The 25,348-nt window shown below is 43.8% G+C and overlaps 1 annotated feature.

Moving 5' to 3' along the window:
- Positions 16,385-16,679: a silencer, noted in NCBI's record as "tiled region #232; HepG2 Repressive DNase unmatched - State 4:PromP, and K562 Repressive non-DNase unmatched - State 20:ReprD". NCBI's record gives its function as "represses a minimal TATA promoter and a strong SV40 promoter by Sharpr-MPRA in HepG2 and K562 cells {active_cell/tissue: HepG2 | K562}" and the evidence as "EXISTENCE:reporter gene assay evidence [ECO:0000049][PMID:27701403]".

The raw sequence follows: 25,348 nt of genomic DNA, 5'->3' as shown, positions 1-25,348 counted from the left end.
GGGCGGATCACCTGAGGTTAGGAGTTTGAGACAAGCCAGGAGTTTGAGACGTGGTGAAACTCCGTCTTTAACAAAAAATACAAAAATTAGCCAGGTGTGGTGGCATTCATCTGTAATCCCAGCTACTGGGGAGGCTGAACAGGAAAATCGCTTGAACTTGGGAGGCGGAGGCTGCAGTGAGCCGAGATTGCACCACTGCACTCCAGTCTGGGCAACAGAGTGAGACTCTGTTTAAAAAAAAAAAAAGATAAACATGAATATTAGTATTTTAGGGCTTATGAAGCAAAGAAGCAAAACTGAGGATATGACATAGATGCTTATATAGATATTTGAAATATAACTATTTAAGATGTAAAAACTATTCTTAACTAATGACAATTTGGTCTCGACTAAGCAGTTTATTGCACTAATAGTTTGTTGATTGCCGGTCTAGACGAAGAGATAGATAACGAAATAAATACATATGCTAGCGCAGAATGTAAGAAAGGCACAAACAAAAGGAAATAATTCTATGAGAGAAGTAATGAGTAATTAATTGTGACTAAGGAAGGACATTAGAACCAAGACCTGAAGAGTGAGTTGTTAGCTGGGCAAAGATGGGGAGTTCTGGGCAGAAGCAACAGTCCCAAGGGAGGCAAGAGCTTGGTGCATTCAAGAAGGAATCAGAACACAACATCAACAACAATCACACACACACACACACACACACACACACGCACAAACACACCCACAAAGCAGTGGAGCTGGAGTATGCAGCTAAAGGGAGAAGAATGTGGAGATAATGAGGAAGGTGGGGCGGTAACCCAGGGTCCGGTGTAGGGACCAGCCTGGAGGTAGCCATGCCTGGGAACAATCAAAAGTGGAGGGAAAGGAGGAAGACAGGAGGGGAGCAAGTGCAAGAGCAGAAGCCTGATTCAGCAGCGGGGACCTCACAACCTCCCAGTGGTGCGTGAAATGTCGTTACGTGTGTCAACCTTCAGAGGAGGGCCTGCCTCTTGTGCCCCCAACCCTCACCAGCAACATTCCTTTCAGGTCTGGACTTTGATGCATTCAAGGAGAATTCAAACCGTCTTTCTCTTTCATAGTTTAATCTGTTGCCCAGGCCAGAAAGAAAGCACAGGAAAGCAGCCAACGGCCTCCCTTGTAGAAGTCAGGGCAATTCACGGTCCTGGAGAAGGACCTGGAAACAGGAGTGAGATGAACAGGGTCTCTGCTCTGGCTCAGCCTGGATCTCACCTTTCACCTTTGCAACTGGGTTCTGATTTAATTGGTCACAGAGACAGAATCATGCCATGGTTAAGAGCACAGGCTCTAGAATCAAACACTTAGGTTCAAATCAAGCCTCTATTATCTTCCGACTCACAGTTTGCTCTTGTAAATTATATCCCTCATGAATGTCCCTCATCTTGAGAATGAAATCATTATTGTACCTAATCGGCAGGACTGCTGTGAGAAGCGTTTGGGTTGCGTGAAGGATTAGAACATTTGGAAAATAAGCGCTCAGTAAATATTTGCTAGAATAGCTGTTTCTTCACTCAGTTCTTCAATAATCACATAATACAGGCAGGAGAGCAATTATCCCATTTTAGGGATAATGTACTCAAGGCGCAACAAGATAATGGCCACTGTGTCACAGCTCATGGCAGAGCTAGTTCTCAAACTCCCATCTTCAACACTCTAAGGCTCAAGTCCTCCAACACTCAAGCCCCGGCAGTGTCCTTGGGCAAGTCACTGCAGCCGTGTGGGCCTTAGTTTACCCAACAGTAAGACAATGGGAGTGAGAATGGACATGATCTCTACATTCTCTTTCCATTCTAACCATCCAAACACCTACAATCCACTCTGGAGACATGATCATTTTCAAACTAATTCTGGTTGTGGTGATATGCTTTTCCTAGTTTGTCACAGGGACACTAAGAGACGAGGCCCAGCTCTCTAAGCACTAGCACTTTCCCAGGAAAGGTCTGTGTCAGCTGTCAGCCCCTGCTCTGTGTGCCATAAGTTCTCTTGTCATATAAAATTCTCCTTCTGACACTGTTTCCCTTTAGAAAGAAAGTAAATCATAACTTTTCACTTAAGCATTTCTGCTTCTAGTCAGACCTGCTTTAGCCTGAAGTTGAAAAAGAGTATGTTTGGTTGGATCACATTTCAACTCAGTCTAATAGATATTTGCTTAAGGGGGAAAGGGGTTGAAGAAAAAAGGGAAATGTCAAAACGGAATAATAAAATGGTCTATAAACAGAAGCAGGTTTTCTGTGATACGTTACCCCGATAAACCCGATAATGGTTCCCAAATGCACTGTCCTGGGCTGATGCCAGGCTGGGCAGTGGGGGGCTCTAGGTTATTTTTAATTTTACTGTAGCCAAACCATGACCTCATCCTGATGGAATTCTCTCCCACCAAAGAGCTGTATCGAGTTATTTGTCGGCCGAAATTCATTTGAATGTGGATTCATCGGAAACATGTGTGGCCACAGAAGCAGCCAAGAGGGAAATGTGGGGGAGGCAAGAGTGGGATTTTCAAGGAAACCCTTCCTTTTGTTTGAACGAAACATGCCAGTCCTTGCAGGGCCTCGGGCCTTTGATAATATGGGTTTTGGGCCTGCTGTTCTCTGTGACCGCTCTGTGCCCTCAGCAGCCCCAGATCAGATCCTTGCTCTCCCCCAGCACAGGAAATGCAGCTGTCCCCAGCACCCACCAGAGGCAGGCCCTGGGCAGCCACCCTGTAAAATGGATGAGAGCAGGAGCCTCAGCCAACACCCAACAAACTCACAGACAGTACAGGATACTGGCATAAATAATAACAGCAATTCCTACTCTATCAAGCACCTACCGTGTGTATGGTGGAACTGCTTTGCATACGTTAGCTCTGATCTTTACAACAAAGTAGGTGGTATGATCATTCTCCCTTTCACAGAATTAAAAACTGAGGCTTGAGATGTTAACTCAAGAGTACCTGGTTATTTAGTGGCTTAATCAAATTTCAAGGCCAAACCTGTTTTATATAAAACTTCTCCTCTAACCTCAATGCTTTTACAAACAGAAGTCTTAAAGGGATTTAAAGAAAAACAAGACACCTTTAGACTGGCAGGTCAAGGAAGGCTTCATACAGGAGTGGTATCTGAGCAAGGTATGAAGAACAGGCAGTAGTATTTGGACAAAGCAAGATATATTCCAGACAGAATAAAAGTCAGGAAGTGAGAGGAGGTATCAGGAAAATGTGAGTTGAATACTGCAAGGAGTCAAGAGCCTGGTTTGACTCCCAAAGGACAGAAGTAGGGCGTGAAATGGGAGATGCCTCATGAGAGTGCAGCATGGAGGGCATCTGAGTTTTAGGTGACTGGACAGGCTTGATCAGAAGGATCATGGGGAGTCACTGAGAAACATTGAAAAGGAAAGTGCCGTGAACCTTCCTCCAGCCTCAGATGAAGAAAAGATGGCGCGGGACATCCTGGGAGGGGAGCGGGAGAAGGAAATGGCTGAGTGGGGGCAGCCCCACAGAATGCAGAAGAAAGCTCTGGAGGACTTAATGACTGATTATATGTGGGGAGAAAAGTCAGGAAAAGATCCAGAATGAATCCCAGGTCTCTGGTATGAGTGGGTGGAGTGGAGGGTCACACACTGAAACAGGAGTGAGCTGTGGACAAAAGGAGCAGATCAAGCTTTTGAACATGTAGCTTGAGTTATGTTATTTTCTGTTGCCCCAGCTGCCATGTGGATGGACTAAATCATGCTCCTCTTTGATTCCTGAAGTCTCCTAGCACAAGCCTCAGCATGTAGGATGTGCTCAGGGAAAAACACTGAATGATAGATTGGCACCATCACCCCATTCCCTGTGGCCTGATATAAATGACCCACCTAAATAGCTGGATTAGGCCAGTCTCAACATCCAGATTGTGCAGCAGCAGAAGCACCATGTCAGCCAGCAGCTAAAACCACATTCTCAGTGCAGGCAGAACCAGAGGAGCTGCTTTCTGAGATTGTCACATGGCAATGTTTTGAGTGGGAAGGGATCTGGCATCGGCAAAGGACTCTGCCTGTTGCCATCTTCTATGCAGAGATGGATCCATTCTACCAGTAGCCATCATAGCCAAAGATTTCAAAGGACCAGGAAGAAAAGCCTGCTCAGAGCAGACGCGAAGTAGAAACATCTGTTTGAGTTTTCAATCAAGCTATTTTCCCTGCACAAAGCAAGCTTGTAGGAAATTGATTATTCTATTTCCTTCTCAGAAGTGGAGACTCCAATGTCAGGGAGAATGGTTTCCTATAAGACTACGTGTCTTGGAGTACTGTAAGTTGTTTCTAGTGTCTTTGGTGATATATGCACAGAAGTCTTGAAAAACAGGATTGAGTATCTTATTATGTCCCGGTTGGACAGAGGTCTCTCATTCCATGTGGCTCTCCTGTCTTCTGTGTCTAATGGCAGATGGAGTGTGGGTTGCTCGTTGCATATGTTCTCCTTTCTGAGTGGCCATGTTTGCCTGTAAAACCCTATGTAAACCGGAGAGCAAGAACAAGTCCCAATAAGGACATATCTGTTTTGAAATTTTTTGTTTTTAGGAGTCTTGATTACTGAGAAGATGTGCTCCATTTTAAACTTGGGTGTCTCTATTTCAGAAAAGACACAATTACAAGCCTGTGATGTGAAGTTTTCCAGATGTTAATTAGGTAAGGAAAGTAATATGGTGAACCTCCAGGTATCAATCACTCAATTTCAGTATTTGCCCATTCTTGCTTCCTCTATAACTCTCCATAGACTTTCACTTGCTATGTTTCTCCCTGAATTGTGAATTGATTGTGTCAGGCAGCAAGGTACAGTAGAGTCTCAGCAGAATCACAGGGGGCTCCACTGCTGCTAGGTTAGGGGGCCTTGATGGTAAATGTCATATTTATTTTTGTACCCCTGGGCTTACACAGGACCTAGTATGCAGTTGACACTCAAAGAATGACATGACTGTTCCGCACTAGGTGTGTGATTTTGGAAACATCCTTTAATTTCTTCAGCCTTGGAGTTCTCATTTGAAAAGTATAAACAAGAAATCTGCCTGACTGAACAGTTGTAAGCATTAAATCAGACCATGTATGGAAACCGTTTAGCACGATGCTGAGTGGTAGTAAGCTCAGTCATGCTATTCCCTCTTCTTTCTCCATTACTCTTTGGCTGTTGGAGCCTAGGCCTTCTTCACCTGATCTTAGCCAAAAGGCTGAGAAGCGATACCTAGGCCTTCTTAAGACATAGGAATTCAAATGAGTAGGTAGAAAGGAAGATAAAAAGAAAGGCAGGGTTAAAGTGATGAGGAATAAAGAAGGTGGAGACAAAAGAAGAAAAGCAGAGAACAACATGGGTTTAATAGAAGGGGAACAACAAGAGAAAAGGCTCTTCTAGATATCCTGAAATCCAGCTTCATGACATATCCGTGGAAGAATGTGGCATGTCTGAAAACGTCTCTCTTGGGTCCCTTATGTCCCCTGTTAAAAGAAAGCCAAAGGGCTTGGCACTGTTTGTCCCCCAGGAAATGCCCCTTTCTCCCCTCACTCACACCCCAACCATCCAGGGTCCTTGTGTCCTTTTCTCAATTGTCCCTTCAGAACTTGCTCCCTAGAGAGCATCAGAAGAAAGCTCCAGATGGGAGTATGAAGGATGGTGGGCTTTAAAATGGCCAGGGAGGGAAAGGAGCATGTGTTCCCTTCCTTCTGGTCTGTGTGAGGTCCTGCGTATAGACCATCAGAGTATGGGGTGATGCAAACTATGGCAGAGCTCAGGTTGCTGAGAGGTCGCTGCAGAGGGATCAAAGTGGTCGATGTACTCACAGTCAGAGAAAGCTTCTCTAGGACAATGGCAGATGTTAAGCTGTGTCTTGAGTGGACAACAAATGTTTACCCAGTAGAGAAAGCATTTTCAGAAGAGGTAAAAGTCCTATATTTGATTAGCCCATAGGTTAAGCTGATTTTTTTTTTACTTACATGCACATATTCTCATTGGAGGATAAGTATAGCATTGCCCCAATATCATGGACCTCAAATTCTTTTTACTGTCCACCCTAGCTTTGGATAGCCCAAGATTTTTGCCCCCACCCTGGAGACTAATCAACTGAGCTTTAGATTCTGTCCCATTGCCTTACTAGACTACAACTTCTCAAGCTCCAGCTCCCTAGCTGCCTATGACTGGCTATTGGGAACCCCTCTGTGAGACAACCCCTGGATCTAGAGCCTTCACCTGGCACTTTTTGCCTTGGGTAGAATTACCTGTGACCTTGCAACTCATTCCTCTAGCTTTCAAGTTCTTCTACGGTGAGAATCATTAATCTCTGTATCCCCTGCCACCAACACAGGCTCTAGTAAAATGTTGGTGTAAACAAATGTTTCTTGAATTTAAAGTAACTGAACCTTAACCCAAGGATAAAAAGTGAAAACTGCAACAGTCACCAGATGGTCTGCATTCTTCTGGCAAACACTGCCATGTGAAGAACACCCAAATATGTAAGCTGGCTTTTGCGTATTTCATCCAGATGTTCGGCTTCAGGTAGAAGCAGACGAGGAAATCCTTAATGAACAGACTAGTGTTTCTTAACATGTCTAACTTCCAGACCTCCCTGTTGTCTCCTGTACTAAGGCTGCAGCTCACTCAACATTCTTAAATGGGCTGCAAAATAAAGTGCCTTGGGTTAGAACTGCAAGCAACAAGTGAAGTGGAGGGAGAGCAGAGGTACCTCCAAAGCCCTGCGGCAGGAGTACTCCAACTGTAGTGTTGGAACAAGGAGGCTGTGTGGCTGGAATAAGATGGGCAGAGAGCAGGAAACTGGAGAGCTAGGAGTGGGGTCTGGGCCATGGCAGAGCCAGCAGTGCCTTACTGGATTGGGACTCTGAGTTCCCTGAGTGAAATGGTAAGTCACTGTAGAGTTTTGAACAGAGGAATGACATAGTATAAATTACCTTTTCAAAAGAACATGCTGACTTATTTGAGACTAGCCTGTGAGGTGGGGCAGGGGAAAAGAAGGAAAATGGGGAGAGCCCTTAGGAAGCTACCACAGTCATCCAGGTAAGAAATGATGGCAACTTGGACTGGGGAGATCATGGCAGGAGTAGTGAGGAATGGCTGAATTCTGGATGAATTTTGCCTTCTATTTCCCAATTGTCTGTGCTCTGCCTCCAGACAAATGCCCATCCAAGAATGCTGCTCTATACTAGAAACCACACAGTACACCAACAATGTGCTTTTATTTTCAATAAGTGAACAAACAAACAGATGCACCAGATCCAGAATGATCTAGATGCTGGTTCTCAGAGACACACTCCCAGATATCTCACTTTGGCTTTACCCTGCCTCTTTGAAGGCCCAGAAGCTGAAGGAACAGAAACTGTGAATTATGCCTCCAACTGTGATGTGGGACAAGAAGAGCTGTTTCCAGAAAAAAATATAGACATATAAAGAGAACTGGTTGAATTTATTTTCTGATGCTTTTCTCACTTTGTGCCAGAAACATAAGCAGAGGGAATAAAACTGGGAATTTTGATCCCCTGAATGTAATTTAACAGAGAAGTCAATACCTGTAGGGAATGCAGGTGACAATGAGGGACAAAGAAGGCTGGCTGATTGGGACAGAAACCACCAGAGGGAGGAACACTATTGGGAGGAAATGACCAGATTCAGGTCCTCACAGTTAAGTAGGATGAAGGGTCTGGTCTCAGAAAGACCACTCAGATGAGCTTGCACATCCTGGGCTCCTCAGAGTGGTCCTCTCGGCTTCCCACACTCTGATGCAACATCAAGCACTGTCTCCTCACTCAGCCAACTTCCAGTGCGCAGAGGCAATTTATTGTGTGCAGGGCACAAGTGGTTCCATCTACATTCTGATCCAAACCGTGCAGCACTCCGGTGAGGCAGGAGATATCTTCATCTTACAAAGAAAATAGAGGCCCCAAGTTTGGAAGCGACATACGAAGAATTGCTTGGCAAGTTAAAGAGACCCAGTCTGTGAGTCACGTTTGAACCTCCTCTCTTCAAAACTATCTGGGCTTCCCAGCAGGGCCAGCATACCTCATCTCTGTGAGCAGTATGAGGGAACTTGGATGGGCTGGGGTGAGCAGCATGTCATGGGTAGGTCCAAGCACTGAGTCTCTTAGCCATGGGAGTAGCAGTGCCTAACAATCATTGCTCCAGACAGTCCCATATCAAGAAGCTGGAGTGCTTGTCCTCTTGCTTCCGTTTTTGGAGAATATGAGCTAGATCCATTTAAATGAGCCATTTTGATGACTGTAAAACTCCTTCTAGAACAATAGCACCTAACCTTGGCTGCACATCAGAATCACCTGGGCAGTTTGAACAAATACTGATACCCCTTTTATCCTGAGTTTTTCATTTAATTTATCCAGGGCATTCTAGTGGAGAGTTAAGGTGAAAAAACAGTACTTTAGAAAGTCTTCTTTCAGTGTCTATACACATGTTGTCTATGCAAGAATTAGGACAACTAAAATATTTAATTATACATGTATTCAGTAATATGTAAGCTATTATAAATACTATTGCAATTTTAACATCCAAAAATATAACATTTTCCCCCGCTGTTTTGGATTCTCTTGGTAGCATAAATTTCAAAGAACAGAATTAGCTTATTGAACTAGCAGAATTAGCTGATTGAAACGTAAGAACAATTTTAAAGTTCCTGATGCAAATTGACAAATGGTCCTCCAAAAATCGTACACCAATTTGTGTTCCCTTAATTTTTTAAAAAATAGGAATGCTCATGTCCAGCTTCCCCATCACCACAGCTTTTCAGTCATGGAATGGGCTTTCTTAGGGGGTAGGGAGCTTCTCATTATTGGGGATGTTCATGTGTATCTAAAGGGCGATTTGCTGAATGTGAACTGTATGCAGCCACTCCCTGAGTTTGGGTGGGAAATGCAGGACACACAGAAAGCTTGGCTGCAAGATCCCGCCCCTGGTCCTGGCTATTTACTACTTCAGGGAGAGCCTGAATCCACAAGGCTGTTTTCAGGCGATTGATGGGCAGGTCTAGGGTGGGAAGGAAGGTTTACTATGTAAAATGCTCAGGAGAGGCTGGGACCCATCAGTGTTAGGGAAATACTGCTGGAGTCAATGTGTGAGAATGACTGTGAGCAGGACAATGAGGGTGATGAAATGGAAAGGAAGATTGTGAGCTTCCCAAAAGGCTTCCCTGGGCTTACATTATCTTTCAGCAAAAAGGTTCGTCCAATATTTCAGGTGGTTTTACCATTGGTGTTACTGACATACATTTGGAGTGGGGAAACAATTTGAAATCATTCTAAAATGTGTTGTTCATCTCTCCAAAACAGGCAGCTTGGGATAATAGAAAAAGCAGGGTATACAGAGTCAGACAGACCTGGGTTTGAAGGCTCTCCCAGACAGATCCCCTGGACTGTGTACAAGATGCCTGACTTTTCTGAGCCCCAGTAAAATGATGGTAATAATGTTCTCTCCATGTTCTTGGGAAAACTAACATGCTAATTTGTATGTAAAGCACCTAAAAAGAGACTTGGCACATAGTTTATAATCAATAAGAGGGATCCGTTATTGCATTATTAGTTAGAACATACTTACATCCTTCACTTTACGCACAAGTAATTAAATGGTGAGAATGATGGCGTTCGTGATCATTATAATAACAGTTACAAAAGCAACCTCCTACTGGGGATCTACTATATGCTAGACATTGCCAATTGTGTAAATATAACCCCTTCTATTTATCTGGCACCTTAATAATCGTCCAAGAAGTTTTACCTTTGTCAAAAAAAGGAACTAAATAAATCTTATAAAGTCAGTAGAGACTAGATCTAAAATGAAGAATCAAGTGGTTCTGATGATTTGTCTAAGGGAATAGGAAAAGTATGTTAAATTTTTTTGGTAAGAAAATTGAATCCTACTCTGCAATCTCTAGGTCTTGTTATTTAAAATATTGTTGTAGAAAATGTTTTGTTATGTAATTAAGATAAACCTTCAATTTTATCTCATATGTCTTATATGTCTTATAAAATTTGTAATATATAATATAGTTATATATCATATTAAGAAAATAAAGCTTGCCTATTGCTGTTTTAATTCCATCTTTACAATTTTTAGAATAAGATCTGATGTCAAAGATACTGTTGGAGCTCCCAGCATCTCTGGTTTTTGGGTCTTCCCCCTATGCTCCAGGAAGTTTCATTATTGACTCCAGATTCTAGCAAATTCCCAGAGCTCAGGCATTTTACATGTCTGTGGTAGGGAGAGACAAAGAGCCTGTTTCCCAGGCCAGGTTCTGTTTACACTTCCTTGATCAGGGATAATGATTTGTTTATAGGAGACATTCTGTCTTCATTAAACTCACTTCTGGACAATCAATGAAGGGACTAAGATGACAGGACACATGTGTGTTTGAAGTTCACACATCCTGCCTTGCTCAAACAGGACCAAGGCTCAGCCAAGACTTTCTTGTACTGACACCTAGGATCAGGACATCAAAAGCTCTAGTAGAATTAAGAAAGGATGACCCTTCCCAAAGGAACATAAATAAAGTCTCAACAAATGACTTTGCTAATTATTCTTCTCTGATTAGTTTAACTCAGCATAGGGCAGACCTTGCCTAGTATATTTCATATATAGTGCAGTCTGCCTTCCATTCCTATTAAAAAATCATACTTTCAGGTATTTAATAAATTAAAATCATTTCTGTAATTAAATTAGGTACTTATCTTTGCAAGCTCTATACAGAGAAGCAGCCACCAATCTTAATTGGCTTATATGCCTTATAAACTGCAAGGCTCATGCTTTAATTTGAGATTAAATCAGAATAAAAGAATTTACACTAATCTTTCCTGCAAAAAAGTGGAATATTTTTAACTAGCTAGGCATAACACTTTTTAAAACTTCTCATTTATGAAGATACTTTACAGTGCAAGGTTAAAAAAATAAGCACAATGTAGTTCCTTTGTTATTAATCACTGGTTTGCAATCACTTGTTTGCCTCATCCTAGTTTTCTTCTCCAAGCTAAAGTAGTATGGTTCTTCCTTCTAATCTGCCTTACACCTTCTCATCACCTATGTTACTTATTGCAGCCATTCTCATGGGTGTGTAGTGGTGTCTCATTGCGGTTTTAATCTGCATTCGTCAAATGGTGAATGATGCTGAGTACTTTTCCTGTGTTTATTTACTATTCATCATATCCTCTTTGATGACATGTCTATTCATATCTTTTGCCCTTTTTAAGTTATATTATTTGTCTTATATTATTAAATTGTTAAAGTTCTTTGTAAATTCTAGATAAGTCTTTTATTTGATATATATTTTGCAAACATCTCCCAGTATGTTGCTTTTATTTTTCATTTTCTTAGAATTTTTTTTGAAGTGCAAAAGTGTTTAACTTTGATTGCGTTAATTTATCAGGTTTTTTTCTTCTATGAACTGTGCTTTTGGTGTAGTATCTAAGAAATCTGTATGGAACCCAAGGTCTCAAATATTTTCTTTTATGTTTTCTTCTAAAAGTTTTTATTGCTTTAGCTCTTACCTTTAATTCTATGATCCATTTAGAGTTAAGTTTTGTGCATGGTTTAAGATAAAGGTCTGAGCTCACCTTTTTTTAATTTTTATTCATTTTTATTTCTTATTTCAATAGGTTTTGGGAAAACAGGTGGTGTTTTGTTACATGCGTAAGTTCTTTAGCGATGATTTCTGATATTTTGATGCACTCCTCACCTGAGCAGTCTACACTATACCTAATATGTAGTCTTATCCTTCACCCCCTCCCACCCTTTCCCCCAAGCCTCCAAAGTCCATCGTATCATACTTATGCCTTTGCGTCCTGGTAGCTTAGCTCCCGCTTATGAGTGAGAACATATGATGTTTGGTTTTCTATTCCTGAATTATCTCCTCAGATGAGGAGGCTTTGCTACTTGAACCCTAAAGCTATACTTAGGTCTGACATCCTCAGTTTCAACTGCATAGCAGGTGAACAAACTGATGCATTAAGAATAGAGAGGATCTTTTCCATGACATGTAGATAGTAGGAAGTATTTAAAGCAATTGCATTGGTAATAATAACCTGGGGACTAAAGGAAAGCAATTCTGTTGACCTTGTGCCCAGCCTGAAAACTCTGTTGAAGCAGCTCTCTGAGGTCTTTCCTCTTCATGAACAGATTCAATCCTTGTATTGATGAAGGTGTGAAAAATGCGTTTATTTGTTCTTTAAAAAAAAAAAGTGTTTCTGAGTGACAGACGAGCATCCCGTGGGTACTCTCCCCTCCACTTAGGCATCGCATCCAGGTTGCTCACAGTCTGGAGGGCCTCAGGGATCAATGGCAACAGCTGCAGCCAGGACAAGGTGGCAGCCTTTATTGCTGAGAACCATCTTAAGTTTGGACTTACATGTTTTCCTACTGTCAACTGAAAACAACACTGTGGTTTGAAGAATTATGGCTAAGACAATGTGAGTGGTAAATATGGAGTTAGTGTTTTAATTGAAGTCTTTATAACACCAAACCTGAGTCCTTTTTCCCTTGCCATAATTTATCATGAAAAGGCAAGTGGGTATGAGGTGTGGGGCAAGTTGGGTTCTTGCTGAGCCAGTGCCCAGAGGTCTAAGCTCCTTTGAAGTAGTACCCAGATGTCATGGTTTTTTTCCCAGAAAGAAAGAATTGGAAAGCAGCCTCACCTGCAAGGTTGAAAATTTTAGCACTTCACTCCTGGCCAGAAAAATCACTGGGAATACACAACTCCCTGTTAAGAGATCTGGATCCTAATGCTGGCTCCACTCCCAACCAAGTGACCCTGACTAAGATATTTCAACTACCTGGGCCCCAGTCTCCTTATTTACAAATTTGTGATGTCAATTTGTGGTCTACCTACTTCTTGGTGATAACGTGTTTAAAAGACAATATCTGGAGAAGGCAATACTTAATCAAAGAGGCTCTGTCATGTATATAATCTCTTTTTTCTAGTCCTAGTTCCATCAACATTTCTGGCTGGCCATGGAAAATCATCCTCCCTTCCTGGCCCTGTCTCTTTAACTGTATAATGGAAAGGATGATCTAAATGCCTTTTGGAGTTCATCTAGCTCTGAAAATTGATGGCCCTCGGCCTCTACTGGGTCCTGGCTTTTTGGCAAGGCCCAGCACACTTTGCCCATTCATCACACAGGGATGTGGTTGTCCTCTGAAGAAGAGATGAGACAAGTTTTCCCATTGAATCTGTCAGTCCAGAGAAAACCAGGGTCTCATCGCCTTCACTGGAGAACCTATGGCACTGGCCCAGGTCTGACAAAGGGCACCATATGGGTATACCTAACCAGATAGTGTGATGTAATGCCCACCGGAGACCACAGACTTAGCTTGGGGATCAGGGAGCAAAAACAGACCCATTGGCTCTAACACACTTTTACCAGAGTTTGGGCATTTGGGGTTGGGGGAAGAGGAGAGGGGCGATGGGGATATGGCAGGGAAAGGAGCTGTCCTTTAAGCAGTACTGGAAGTAAAAATGCCAGATCTCCCACAGGTTGCAAGTACGGCTCAAACTTGAAACAGAGAAATACCCCCACCAGAAAGAAGAATAATGGGACAAACAGATCTTAGAGCGAGGCAGAGCTGGATTGGAATCCCGGTTCTTTCACCCTATGGTGGTTGTGTGACCTTGTGCAAGGCTCTTAGCCTGGCCTCTGGCAGTTTCCCTCTCTATGGTGACAGAGTATCTGGGAAAGCAAGGTTCATTCTTTGTTTATTTGTTTTAGTGAGAGGAATGGCAGGTTTTCTCTATCTAGATGGCCCAGGGATCTTCTCTGCTAGGTTGACCAACTGGCTTCCCTTGGTTAGGTAAAATGATAGGAAAGTTGTCATCGATTGCTCTCTAAGAAGGAAGTTTGGGATTTTTTTTCTGGCCTATCAAAGCTGGCCCTTCCTGACACTTTGGTGAGAAGAGTTGATTAATTAAAAAAAGAACAAATAGTGGACACATTTTCACAAGGGCCAAGCAACCTTCTGGAAAGAAAAGTTCCTAACTCCAGTAATAGTAAACCTCAGAAGAGGAGTGAGGAGCCTTTTCCACAAAGGATTCTGATAAGACAGCCTTCTTAAAGGAAAGGCTCCTCACTCCTATTCTAAGGTTTACTGTTACTGGATCCTCTTTGAGGATATGAGACAGCCCTTACTATCAGGAGGGCAGAGGATCTTGGTGGTCCAGGCAGAAGGCCAGGTGCATTGTGAGGGAAAGGTGGGATCTTGTAGCACTTGTGGCTGAGGATGGATGGATGGCGCCCCAGCAGACTCAGCCTTGGTGGCCCAGGAGACAGCGTTTAGCTCAATGACTGAATGTATCAGTAGAAACTGCAAAAGCTGTAAGCTTGGGAGCACTGTGATCTTGCAGGGCCAGGCCAATAAGAGCACCACACAGTGGACTCGTCAGTCTCTCCAGAGCCAGTTTTCCATAGAAGTCCACTATAGTGCTGACCAGACTCCAGCTCTCTCTTTCATCTGGCATTTGGAAGCAGAACTAATAATCCCTTTGTCCTGAGCAAGACCTAAAGGTTTTTGAGAGGTTGTTGGACAACTGGAGGTGGGACAGGGGTTGATTTTGAGAAAGAAAAAACTTCCCGCTAAGTGGGCGAATGGACTTTGGATGATTAACTGGAAAAATTAGACACCTTTTCATATATTCCCAAGCAGGTGAAATAGTCCCTACCAGTCTGATGCATAATAGGATTCATTCAATCTGCCTATACAGGTGTGTTGAGACAATTTGTCAGTGTATCATCTGGGTCTGGCAGAATACCTGGCACATAGTATGTCATCAGCCAATGTTTGTGGCCTTAAGCTCCTGAAGTGACATAGATGGAAGGAAGGCTTGATGCCCCATGGAAACACTGCTGTCACTTCAAAAGCATTTCTAGGAAACTCTCTCTTTGTTGAGATAGGAGTATGTTGGGGTAGGAGTAGGGTTTGCAACACAGACAGTGGACAGAACTATCTGAGATCTCAAGAGGCTTATAGTGCCTGAGGAACACGTCTAATCCCTAGGAAGTTGTTCTAGGATGAGCAAATGGATGCGGACTCTATTAATTACTGTTGGGTTGTAAGAGATGAACTTCCTTTATTTACCTGAAGTGATGGGGATTATTCAGAGCTGATGAGAGTCACAGAAAGGTGTACCCATGACTGGCCCAGCATTTCCCAAGGAAGCCTGAGTTACACGGCTCATCAAAATCATCTGGCTTTGCAAGGCAGGGATGCAAAAATATTCCCACAGGTCTTGGCAGCCACAGGTTGACTATCAGGATATCTTTGAGAGGAAGGCACACAAGGAGGCCAGGGATGCCAGGAGCAGCCGGGCAGCCTTCAGAAGACGATGGACGCAGGGTAGCTTTGGGGAGCAGGTTATCTGTCATGCCATGTGGCAGCAGGGCTTCTTCAACAGTCTGTTTCTGTTGCTCCTTTTGCTAAAACCCAACCACTCTACCCTCTCCCCATATATCCCTTCTTTGCCCTGTACTTCTGCCTACTCATTCATGTGTTAGGCCCCTGTGATTTAGAGATAGCCTTTGAGTTTCTCAAGGTCTTCTCTTTTCCAGACCAAACCCTCCCACTTTCTTCTTCAGGGCTGCACCCTCCACTGGGGCTCAGTAAACCTTGTGCTTCAGACCATCCGGGATCTCCTGAGGGAGCCCCCCAGCCCAGGAGAGGGAGCCCTGAGCACATTTCACCCAGGACTGCAACTCTGAGAAAGTGCCCAAGTCTCTTTGTGCCTCAATTTTCTCAGCTGTAAAATGGAGATAATAACATGGGCTGCAAGCCTCAAAGCCGGGGTCTAAGGGAAATTTGCCTCTGCCTGGGGGTTCTGGAGCTCTGCGCTTGTAAGGGTGATAATTGGACAGGTTTATGGAGCTAGCTCTGTCTTCAGAGGCCCTTCCCTCTTGATTCTCACTGTGGCTCCCATCCTCTGAAACCTTTTCATGGTTGAGACCTGCCTCCCTGAGAGCCGGGAAGAAGGAAGGCCTTGGGATGATCCCTAAGGTAAAGTGAGTGACACAGCTGAGTTTCAAAGCGGTCACATGACTTGATCATACAGAAAGTAGCTAGCAGAGGACAAGGAGCAGGACAAGCTGTCCCACTGCATGTGGCATATCAGGAGAAACTGCCCTCTTCCACGCCGCACAGCCAAGGGGTTCCACGCACAGATTAGGAGCTCAAATGCACCTGGTTTTGATTCTTGGTTCTGTCCCCAGAACTATATCCCCTGGGACAAGTTACTTAACCCCTCAGAGCCTCAGTTTCCCTCCTTGCCTATTAGCGGCTGTGGAGACGATCAATCCCCTTCATTAAGGGATTACGACTGTACCAGTGAGGACACCTGATAGGAGTGGACCCGCTTGTCGCCTCCACGGTAACCCGGGAAACCGAGGCCGGAGTTTGGGAAAATTTGCCCAGGGCCAGGCGGCGACCCACGGATGCCAGCGGAGCGCCCTTCCTGCTGTCGTAGCGCCCCTAGATGGTGCTGGTGCACCGGGCAGCGCCGCCACGGGCCCCGCCCACCCATGCCCGCTCCCAGGCGGCCGCAGAAGCCGCAGACGCCGCAGCGGCGGGGCAGGGACAAAGGAAGGAGCGGCGGGGGCGAGGCTACCCTGCGGCCCGGTGGGACCCCTGCAATGCAGAGCCTAGCTGCTCAGCCGAGGGAGCGCCGAGCCGGGCGGGAGCGGGCGGGCCTGGGGCGCGGGGAGTGCGGGCCGCCCGCCACCACCAATGCAGGGAGCAGGTGGGCTGAGCGCGCCCGACTTGCAGGGCTCTGGGAGCCGGACTGTGAGCCCTCCTTCGTGCCAGGCCTCGCGGTGGGGGGATCCTGGAAAGTCCCTTCGTGTCACTTGCTAACCCAGGTTCCTCTGGCTTTCACCCTTTGCATGATTACTGACCCAGAGATTCTGTGCTGCAAGGGACAAGCCCAGCGCCTGGGGGAAGAAGCAGCTGTGGCGATCTGAGGGGTCCCTCCAGCGCCCAGAGCGTCAGTCTCCCCACCTGCAAAGTGGGCATGATGATGCCCGCCCCGCCTTGTTGACTTCCTCACTCAGCAAATCGTTCCCGCCCTCCTGCTCATGCCCAGCAGCGGCGCCAGGCTCTGGGACATCCCTGAGGAATGAGAGCAGCCTTTCCTCTGAAGGGGGCCCAGTGGACCGGCCAGACAGACAGGAGCTTCAGAGGCCCGTGCCCAGATAGAGCGGCTGGTGAGAGGAGAAACTCCAGGGAGGATAAAGAAAGCTTGGGGAAATGCCCTGAGAACCACACGGCTGCTGTGAGCATTGTTATTCCGCCAAGTGAGGGCGAGTGATTTTAAAGCCCTTTTCACCCTTGTTCTGAGACTGAGTCTACAGGGTGGGTATTCCCAGCTCTCACTCCACATTGCTCCTCTCAGGTGAAACAGGATTGGATGCCGGTTAACAGAAAGCTCTGAGCCAAACTAGATGCGAACCTTAGCTCTACCCCACTTGCTAACTGAGAGACACTGGGCAGGTTAATTCACTTCCCCAAGGCTGAATTCCCCCATCTGTAAAAATGGAGATTAAAAAAAGGTATATTGCTAGATTTCAGGGAGATTTGTAGTAATATGTATTGCTACATTATGTTTAGTTGCTAAGTAATGCAGCAGAGAGACTTGGGAATCAGGAAATATGGATCCTGTTTCCACCCCATGTGACTACCTGGTAGAAGGGTCTGGGAGAAGCCTTTTCTCCTTAGCTATTGGGTTACCCCTCCATGCAAGCTAGACGCATGAAGGGCATGAGGCCATCTGGAGGCCAGTGTCCCCTCCAGCCCACTCCCACAGCCTATGTGCTTACAGACAGGCTGGAAGACCACTTTGTTCCATCCCATAGGGGGAAATAGTGTAATGGTGAAGGACATGTACTCTGGGGCCGGAGAGCCTGCATACATTCCAGCTGCATCACGTTCTAGGTGTGACCTTGGGCAAGTTACCAGTGCCTCAGTTTGCTCATCTGTAGGATGATAACAGTAATAGTATAAAATTTGGCTCGAGTGGGCGAGGTGGTAGTTACAAGAAAATTCAAGCATGATTATCTCAACATAAAAGAAGTTTATGTCTTATTCATAAAATAGGCCAGGGTAGTTTCAGATGAGCAGAGGATTCTGTTCCCGTAATTCAGGGGACTCAGGCTGGCAGTTGTTGTCAGCTGTAACACTTGATTTCTAAAGAGGCCCTGAGGGAGAGGAGTATGGAGGGGAGCTCGTGGGAGCTTTAAGGCCTGTGACTTCAGGGAGGCACCTGTACTTTCCACTCCCATTCCATTGGCCAGCACCAAGTCTCATGACACCCTCCCTCAACCCAGGGGTAGGCTGGGATATGGAGCCTTGGCTGTGAGCCCAGGAAGAAGACATCGATGGACTACAAAAACCAGGCAGCAGCCTTTGTCACAGTGACCTATGTCAGAGGGTTATTTTGAGGATAACATTACTAGTTTAATATTTGTAAAGTACTTAGAACAGTGCCTGCCACATGTTGACACTACATAAATATTTGCTATTATTATTTTTACTGCTATTCTTGTCCCTTAAGAATTCACTGAATATATAAACTGGGAAGCCACCTAGAATTCCAGCCAGTGCTGCAGAACATTGTTTGGGCAGCCTCAGAACACCGCACACCCGCCTTGTCAATCTCAGCAAATTCAGGCCATGTGAGCTTCTTGCTAATGCATTTTGTTTCTGTACTGACAGGGAGGCCTGCTGGAAAATGTATCTTTCTGGAGGCTCTTTGTGTCATTCTGATGCTTGAGGAGAGCCTCTAGCTGTGCTGACTCTGGTCTTCACCTTTAAATGCACATACTGATCCCGGGCAATGGTTGCACACGCGCCTCCTCCGCTCTTCGGGTACCAGTTCTCAGGTGCTACCTCTCGCACAGTGCTACAGTAGCAAAAAGACAGGATCACAGAGGTTACTAAAAGAAGGACAGCTAACAGTTGGATCTGACAAACGCTGGTTATTAAAAGTTACTTAAGGTCCAGTGCGATGGCTCATGCCTATAATCCCAGCACTTTGGGAGGCCGAGGTGGGCGGATCACTTGAGATCAGGCGTTCGAGACCAGCCTGGCCAACATGGTAAAACCCCCATCTCTACGAAACATACAAAAAATTAACTGGGCATGGTGGTGGGCACCAGAAATCCCAGGTACTCAGGTGGCTGAGGCAAGAGAATCACTTGAACCCAGGAGGTGGAGGTTGCAGTGAGCTGAGGTCACTGCACTTCAGCCTAGAAGACAGAGCAAGACTCTGACTCAAAAAAACAAAACAAAACAAAAGTCACTTGACACCTTTGCCCCTCAGTTTACTTATCTGTAAAATAAAGTCAGGAAACAATAATGGCTGCAGAGGACTTTTTAAAGGTGAAAATTAATGTATATGAAGCCCCAAGCACTGTGTTAGGCATAGAGCACTCTCTTAATACTTAGTGGCAACTTTTGCGCCATCAGTCTTAAACTTTGACTCATTGTCACCTTTGCATTTCTGGAGTGATTAATGTGCACCACTTAGAAGTAAAATAGGTTGGTGTAAGTGGGCTGCCAGGATCCTAGCCTTTCAAAATGTCCACCCGCTTGTCCTAGCCTAGGGCCTCATGCCTCAGACACCCAAACTTTCAAGTGAGAAAGTCAGAGCTTGACATAGAGGGCACTTCTGTCAGCCTGCCTGTTCCTTTCTGAGCTCTACCCCATGGCTTAAGCACAATACTGCCAACTTGTGCCATGCTTCTGCCTTGCTAGGAGCCCTCAATGCCAAAGGCAGTAGTCAGTAATTTTTGTTTGGAGATAAGGAATGAAAGCTGTGTTAGGAAGTGATTTAAAAAAAAAACAGCATTGGTGAAAAGAATGAGTACTTTAAAATAACCTTATAACATTATGGAATCTTGACACGCAGTCTTTAAATCACTTAACTATAGCATCTACCCTGCGCCCAAAGCTGTCTGAGCCCAATGTCACCAACAGTGACATTATGTACATGCCTCCATGTACATAATTTATTGCTTTGGATTTCACTATTATTGCATTATAAGTCACATTTCCTATTAGGCAAATTATGACCCCAAGAGCCGGTGGTATGCTAAATATATGCCACCAGCTCTCCAGGAAAAATGTATATGCATATATTTTTATAACTTGCATATAGATAGATAGATAAATTGAATATGAATTTACTAAAGTAAAGTATGTATACAATAATTTAAAAATAATAAACTAATTTTCTTCATTCTAAATTCCATATAACCAATTTATTCTAATAGAAGTCAATTGCTTTCATTGATTTTTGCCAAACTCTTATATTTGTTGCCAATCTGTGATGGCTATTGATAATGCATGTAGTTTAGACATGAATATTAGTTGGTATTCTCATTTTAGTTAAGACGAAAGTGAAATAATGAAGATGTATGTTTGAATCTCATGTGTTCCTCAATGACATGAGCAAATCTTTTGCTGACCCAGAGAATTATTTTGGAATAGTGAAACAATATTTTCTCAAAAATGTTTTATGTTATTCACAATGTAACCAATAAAAACATAACACACTTTTAAGTTTAATTTGCCTTTATTAACATTTTATCCATCACTCTTTTACATATAAGTAACTAACAAATCAATAAATTGAGCCCTGATTTGTAAGCTTTGCTTATTTTCATGGTGTAAATACTTCCAACAATGACCATTTAAAGCTACCAAGGTAATTTCACTGAACATGAGATTACTTATATCACTGTATCTGGATGGTGAAAATACTATATCATGGTGTGCATTTATCTTTTCAATTTCATCTGCAGTTTAGATAATAGCAAACTGTGGTGCTTTTGAATTAGAAAGTGGTGATTTTGAATATTTATTACTGTTCATCTCACTATTATTGCATTATAAGTTATATAATTCAATTTTTCGTAATGGCCGTGTTTAACAACCAGCTCAGAAAATTTCTAAAAGTTTAAAAATCAACTTGGGAACTGGCTGTTAGCACACCACTGCCAAGAGTCTAATGTTATTTTCACTGGAAATTGCGTCAAAAAAGTACTATTTCTTGATATTGTTCAATAAAGTATAAGGAAAGAGAGAGACCAAGAAAGCAGGTAGGAGGAAAGGGAGTTGATGGAGATGTTCAGTTTCAACTGAGCAGACCTCATCTGTGCCAACAGAAACCACCAGTGTAGGCACTGAACTCTTTGAAAATCCTGCCTCAACAGAAGTCCATTCTATGTCCCAATTTTGCTTTTGCCCAGACGTGTATAACAGCTCAGCCTCTGGCTATGGCACGGCGCTCAGCTTCCCCATTCACCAACACTGAGTGCTGGCTGAAAGGCACAGAGTGTCAGCTGTGAGAAAGCGTGCTTCTTCACACCCAACTCCATCCCCAGTGCCATATCATGGCTCATTCATTCTCATTCCTAGTGTGAGAGCAGAGGGCCAGGCTGCCAGCCTTTGTCCATGGTGCCATGGTCTGAATGTTTGTGTCCCCTCCAAAATTTATCTTGAAGCCTAATCCTCAATGCAGTACCATTAACAGGTATGTCCTTTGGGAGGTAATTAAACCATGAGAGCTCTACCCTCTTGAATAAAATTAATGCCTTAGAAAAGGGCTGGAGGAAGCTTTCTTAGGCCCTTTTTGCTCTCCTATCCCTTCCACCATGTGAGGACACCTAGACGGCACCATCTATGAGAAACGAACCTTCTCCAGACACCTGCCGGAGCTTTGACCTTGGACTTCCCAGCATCCAGAGCTGTGAGAAACAAATGTCTATTGTTTGTAAATTACCCAGTATCTGGTATTTTGTTATAGCAGCACAAATAGACTTATACACATGAGCATTCTGTCTTCTACAACCATGCCTCTCTCTGTCTCAATAATGGGGCATCCTATTCCTCAAGCTCTAAGGAAATGTGAATGATGTCATGGGACCCAAAGAAGAAGGCCTTGTCCCAACTTCCCATCTGGTTTCCCCCTGAGATTCCCCACAGATATCCTTCTAGGACCTCAACCTTTTGATTCTGTGTCTTGTACTTTAGAAATGAACAGGAAAGCAATGGAAGAAACATCTAATGAGGAAAAGAAAAAAGACCAAAAAAATGAGCTGAATCTCTCCCTATTTACTTCTCATTGTTAATCAGCCCACTGGAATTCATTTTCCCCATGTGTTTCCTCTGGATTCGAGATGGAAAGGACTTTGGGGAACACTTAGTCTAATACTCCTGGCAGATGAGAAAACCCAGATCCTCAGAACACTTCCCAAATGGCCTCCATGCCTTTTCACAGTGTTGGTAGCAAGAAAATTCTTCAGAATCAACTGTTTAAACACCTTGAGATTTTCCTCCTCCTTCTCCTCTTCCTTCCATTTCCAGAAGCTCTGAGTGTGCTCTGAGTGTTACAGCCTTCCATCAAGTCTGTCCCCACTTGCAGCTCACTAGACTCCGATGCCCTCAGTGATATAAACCATGCCCCAGTCATCCCTGATGTAGTAGAAAGAGAAAAGGCTTAGAATCCACAAACGTGGAGTTTTAGCCACAGCTCAGCCTAGCTGTGTGGCTTGAGCAAGCTGTTTACCCTTCGCCTCTGAGCTCCAGTCTCCATAACTAGAGATGAGAATGACAATACTTATTACAGGGGTATTCTGAATATTAAACACAATGATACATATAGAATTCCTAATACTCTGACTGGCTCCTGGGAGACACAAAACCAATGTTTCTTTTCATGGTGCCCATATCCTTATATTTCCAGTGGATGTGGAAGAGCCTAGAGGAAAACACTCGGGAAAAGAAACTGAATAAATGAAGTTATTAAGTAATGAAAATTTGCCACCAAACCCCTATAATGTTTTTCTTCAAAACAACCCTGTGTTTTTTCCTTCACCATTCTTCCAGTGATTGTCCTCCTTTAGTCCCAATTTCTCACCTCAACTACTACAGACATTGCATGCCAAGTTTCTGCCTTTAGCCCAAGCCATGTTTCTCATCTATCTTACATGAACATCTGAATTACTCTTCCTAAAGCAGAGCTCAAGGTCAGGGTCTGTGTCTTACACATCATCTCCATCATTTCCAAAGATGTTTAGTAAACACTTGATTGATACAATACACAAAGAAGATATAGCTTTATAGATGAAATAATCAAAATATGTATTTTTAATTCTCCTCCTCTTTCATTTTTCTTCTATCCTTCCAAGTTCTTTCTATTATCACTTAAACATTATCTTCAGCATTAGCAAAAGTTTAGCAGGTATGTGCTAACAATAATAATTGCATTTCTGGTACTATAATAAGCGCTGTACAGGCTTTATCTCATTTAATTATGATTACAGCCCCATAAGGTTGAAGGAAAGATGTCATGTGTGTTCTCGGCATGTAAACACTCTTCACAGAGGTTCGGCTAAATGCCAGGCAGCAGTGGCAAATGCAGTCTTAATCACTATTTGGTACTCTGAAAATGTGCACTAGAATATGGAGGGGTGAGATAGAAATGGGCAAGAAGATTCCTTTATGGAAACTCTCTTTGTAGTTGTGTGGCCTTGAGCAAGAATATCTACAGTGGCTCTCATTAGCATCTTACAGTTGGTATAATTTATCACCACCCTCCCTTACATTGTTTAATTGAACTGTAAGTTTCTTGAGACTGGAAGGATGGGCATCTTGGTCATTACATGACACAATCATATGCATAGGGGAGGCCCCAACAACTTCGGCCCTTGCAAATGTAATAGAGGTGAAATAGGCACTGCATGCCCACTTTATGGATGAGAGAAACTGAACCTCAGGTAGGTGATGCTCCGTAGCCAGGATGTGATCACAGAACTCGTGATGTTTACTCAGGCCCTCTTCAGTTCGTTAAAATTCTCAGTCAAAGGCCCTTTGAAAAAACTACTGATCATTTTAGAAATCATTTGGAAAAATGTGGCACAACTTAGGATATAATTTCATAGGCCTCCTGAAACTTCCTATAGCTTCACAATTCATTCATTCATTTGAAAAATATTTGTTGAGTTACTTCATGTGCCAGTCACTGTTTTCAGCACTGGGGATATGGCAATAAAATGAGAAACTCAGCACTTAAAAGCCAATATTTTAGAGGCTGGTGAGGGTGGATAAAGGAAGGACAGCAAACAGACATACAAGTAAATAAATATATCAAGTATTAGCTGGTAATAAGTGTCAGGAAGAAAAAATGAATGAGTAAGAGAGGCATTCAGAGTTCTGTGGAGGTTTTATTTTGCATGGGATGCTTAGAGGAACCCTGTCTGATGAGGTGACATTTTAGCACAATTAGAATGAAAAACAGAAACAAATTATGTAGGTATTTTGGAGAAAAGAATTCCAGGTGAAGAAGAAGCAAGGACAAAGGCCCTGGAGTCTAAGCAGGGAGGAGAATGGAAGGAGACCAAAGCCAGATCATAGTGAATCCTGTAGGTCTTGACAGGGACACATTTTGCTCTGAGTTAGATGGGAAACCAGTAGAAGGAGGAGAAACAGGGTGTGCCTGGGATTCCAAAAGGACCACCTGACTCCACATGGAGCCAGGACAGGGGTGAAAGCAAAGTGAGCAATTTGGGGACTGTTGTAAAATCTCAGGTGAGAAATGGAGTTGGGTACAGGATGGTGGGGGAGGATGGTGTAAGGAATGATTGGTTTGGATACATGATTCAAAAATACAAGTGACAAGATTTGCCAATATAGTAGGAGAGAAAGGAAGAAGAAAAAAAGTAGAATTCCAAGGTTGAAATTAGAGAGCTCAAAATTATTGCCTTAAAAGAACACAGCATTTGGAGACACAACTTGTGTGAAAGCTGATAATTGAAGATATATTCACTGAGAGTGTGTTTTCTATGGAAAATGCTGACAGGTGTATAGCACTTTGCATGGACAATGGTGCCACTGTTTGGCCTTTAGTTTGCTTCAATAAGGGCTTCTCATCTCCCTGTTGTACTCCAAGCACAGGGCTCAGTGTGGGCATGAAAGACCCAGTTCCCTAGGGCCGGCTGACACAAGCAGGAGGGACTGTCACTAACACTGTTACTGAGAAGCAGTGGGTAGACAGGACTTAGCCATAAAGAAGAGGTCAACACTTGAACTCAAGGCTCTACAACAATCAACAGACCATGGTCTTTGGTATAAAAAAACATGGGTACATGCTGTTTGTGGGATGCTTTTGCCAGCTTCAAACTCAGGTCACTTGAGTGACTGTCTCCCAAAGACCCAATGAGAGGCTTTCTAGAATGTATGAGAGGAGAACCCCACCTTGCACTCTGCAGGTCAGAGGGAGGTTTCTGGGCCACCAGGAGGTTTTTAGAAAGGAGTAAAAAACTGTGAGCTCAAGGAATT

The sequence above is a fragment of the Homo sapiens genome, chromosome 2, assembly GCF_000001405.40.
Source record: "Homo sapiens chromosome 2, GRCh38.p14 Primary Assembly".
NCBI lineage: Eukaryota > Metazoa > Chordata > Mammalia > Primates > Hominidae > Homo > Homo sapiens.
This window is presented reverse-complemented; position numbering and strand designations above follow the sequence as displayed.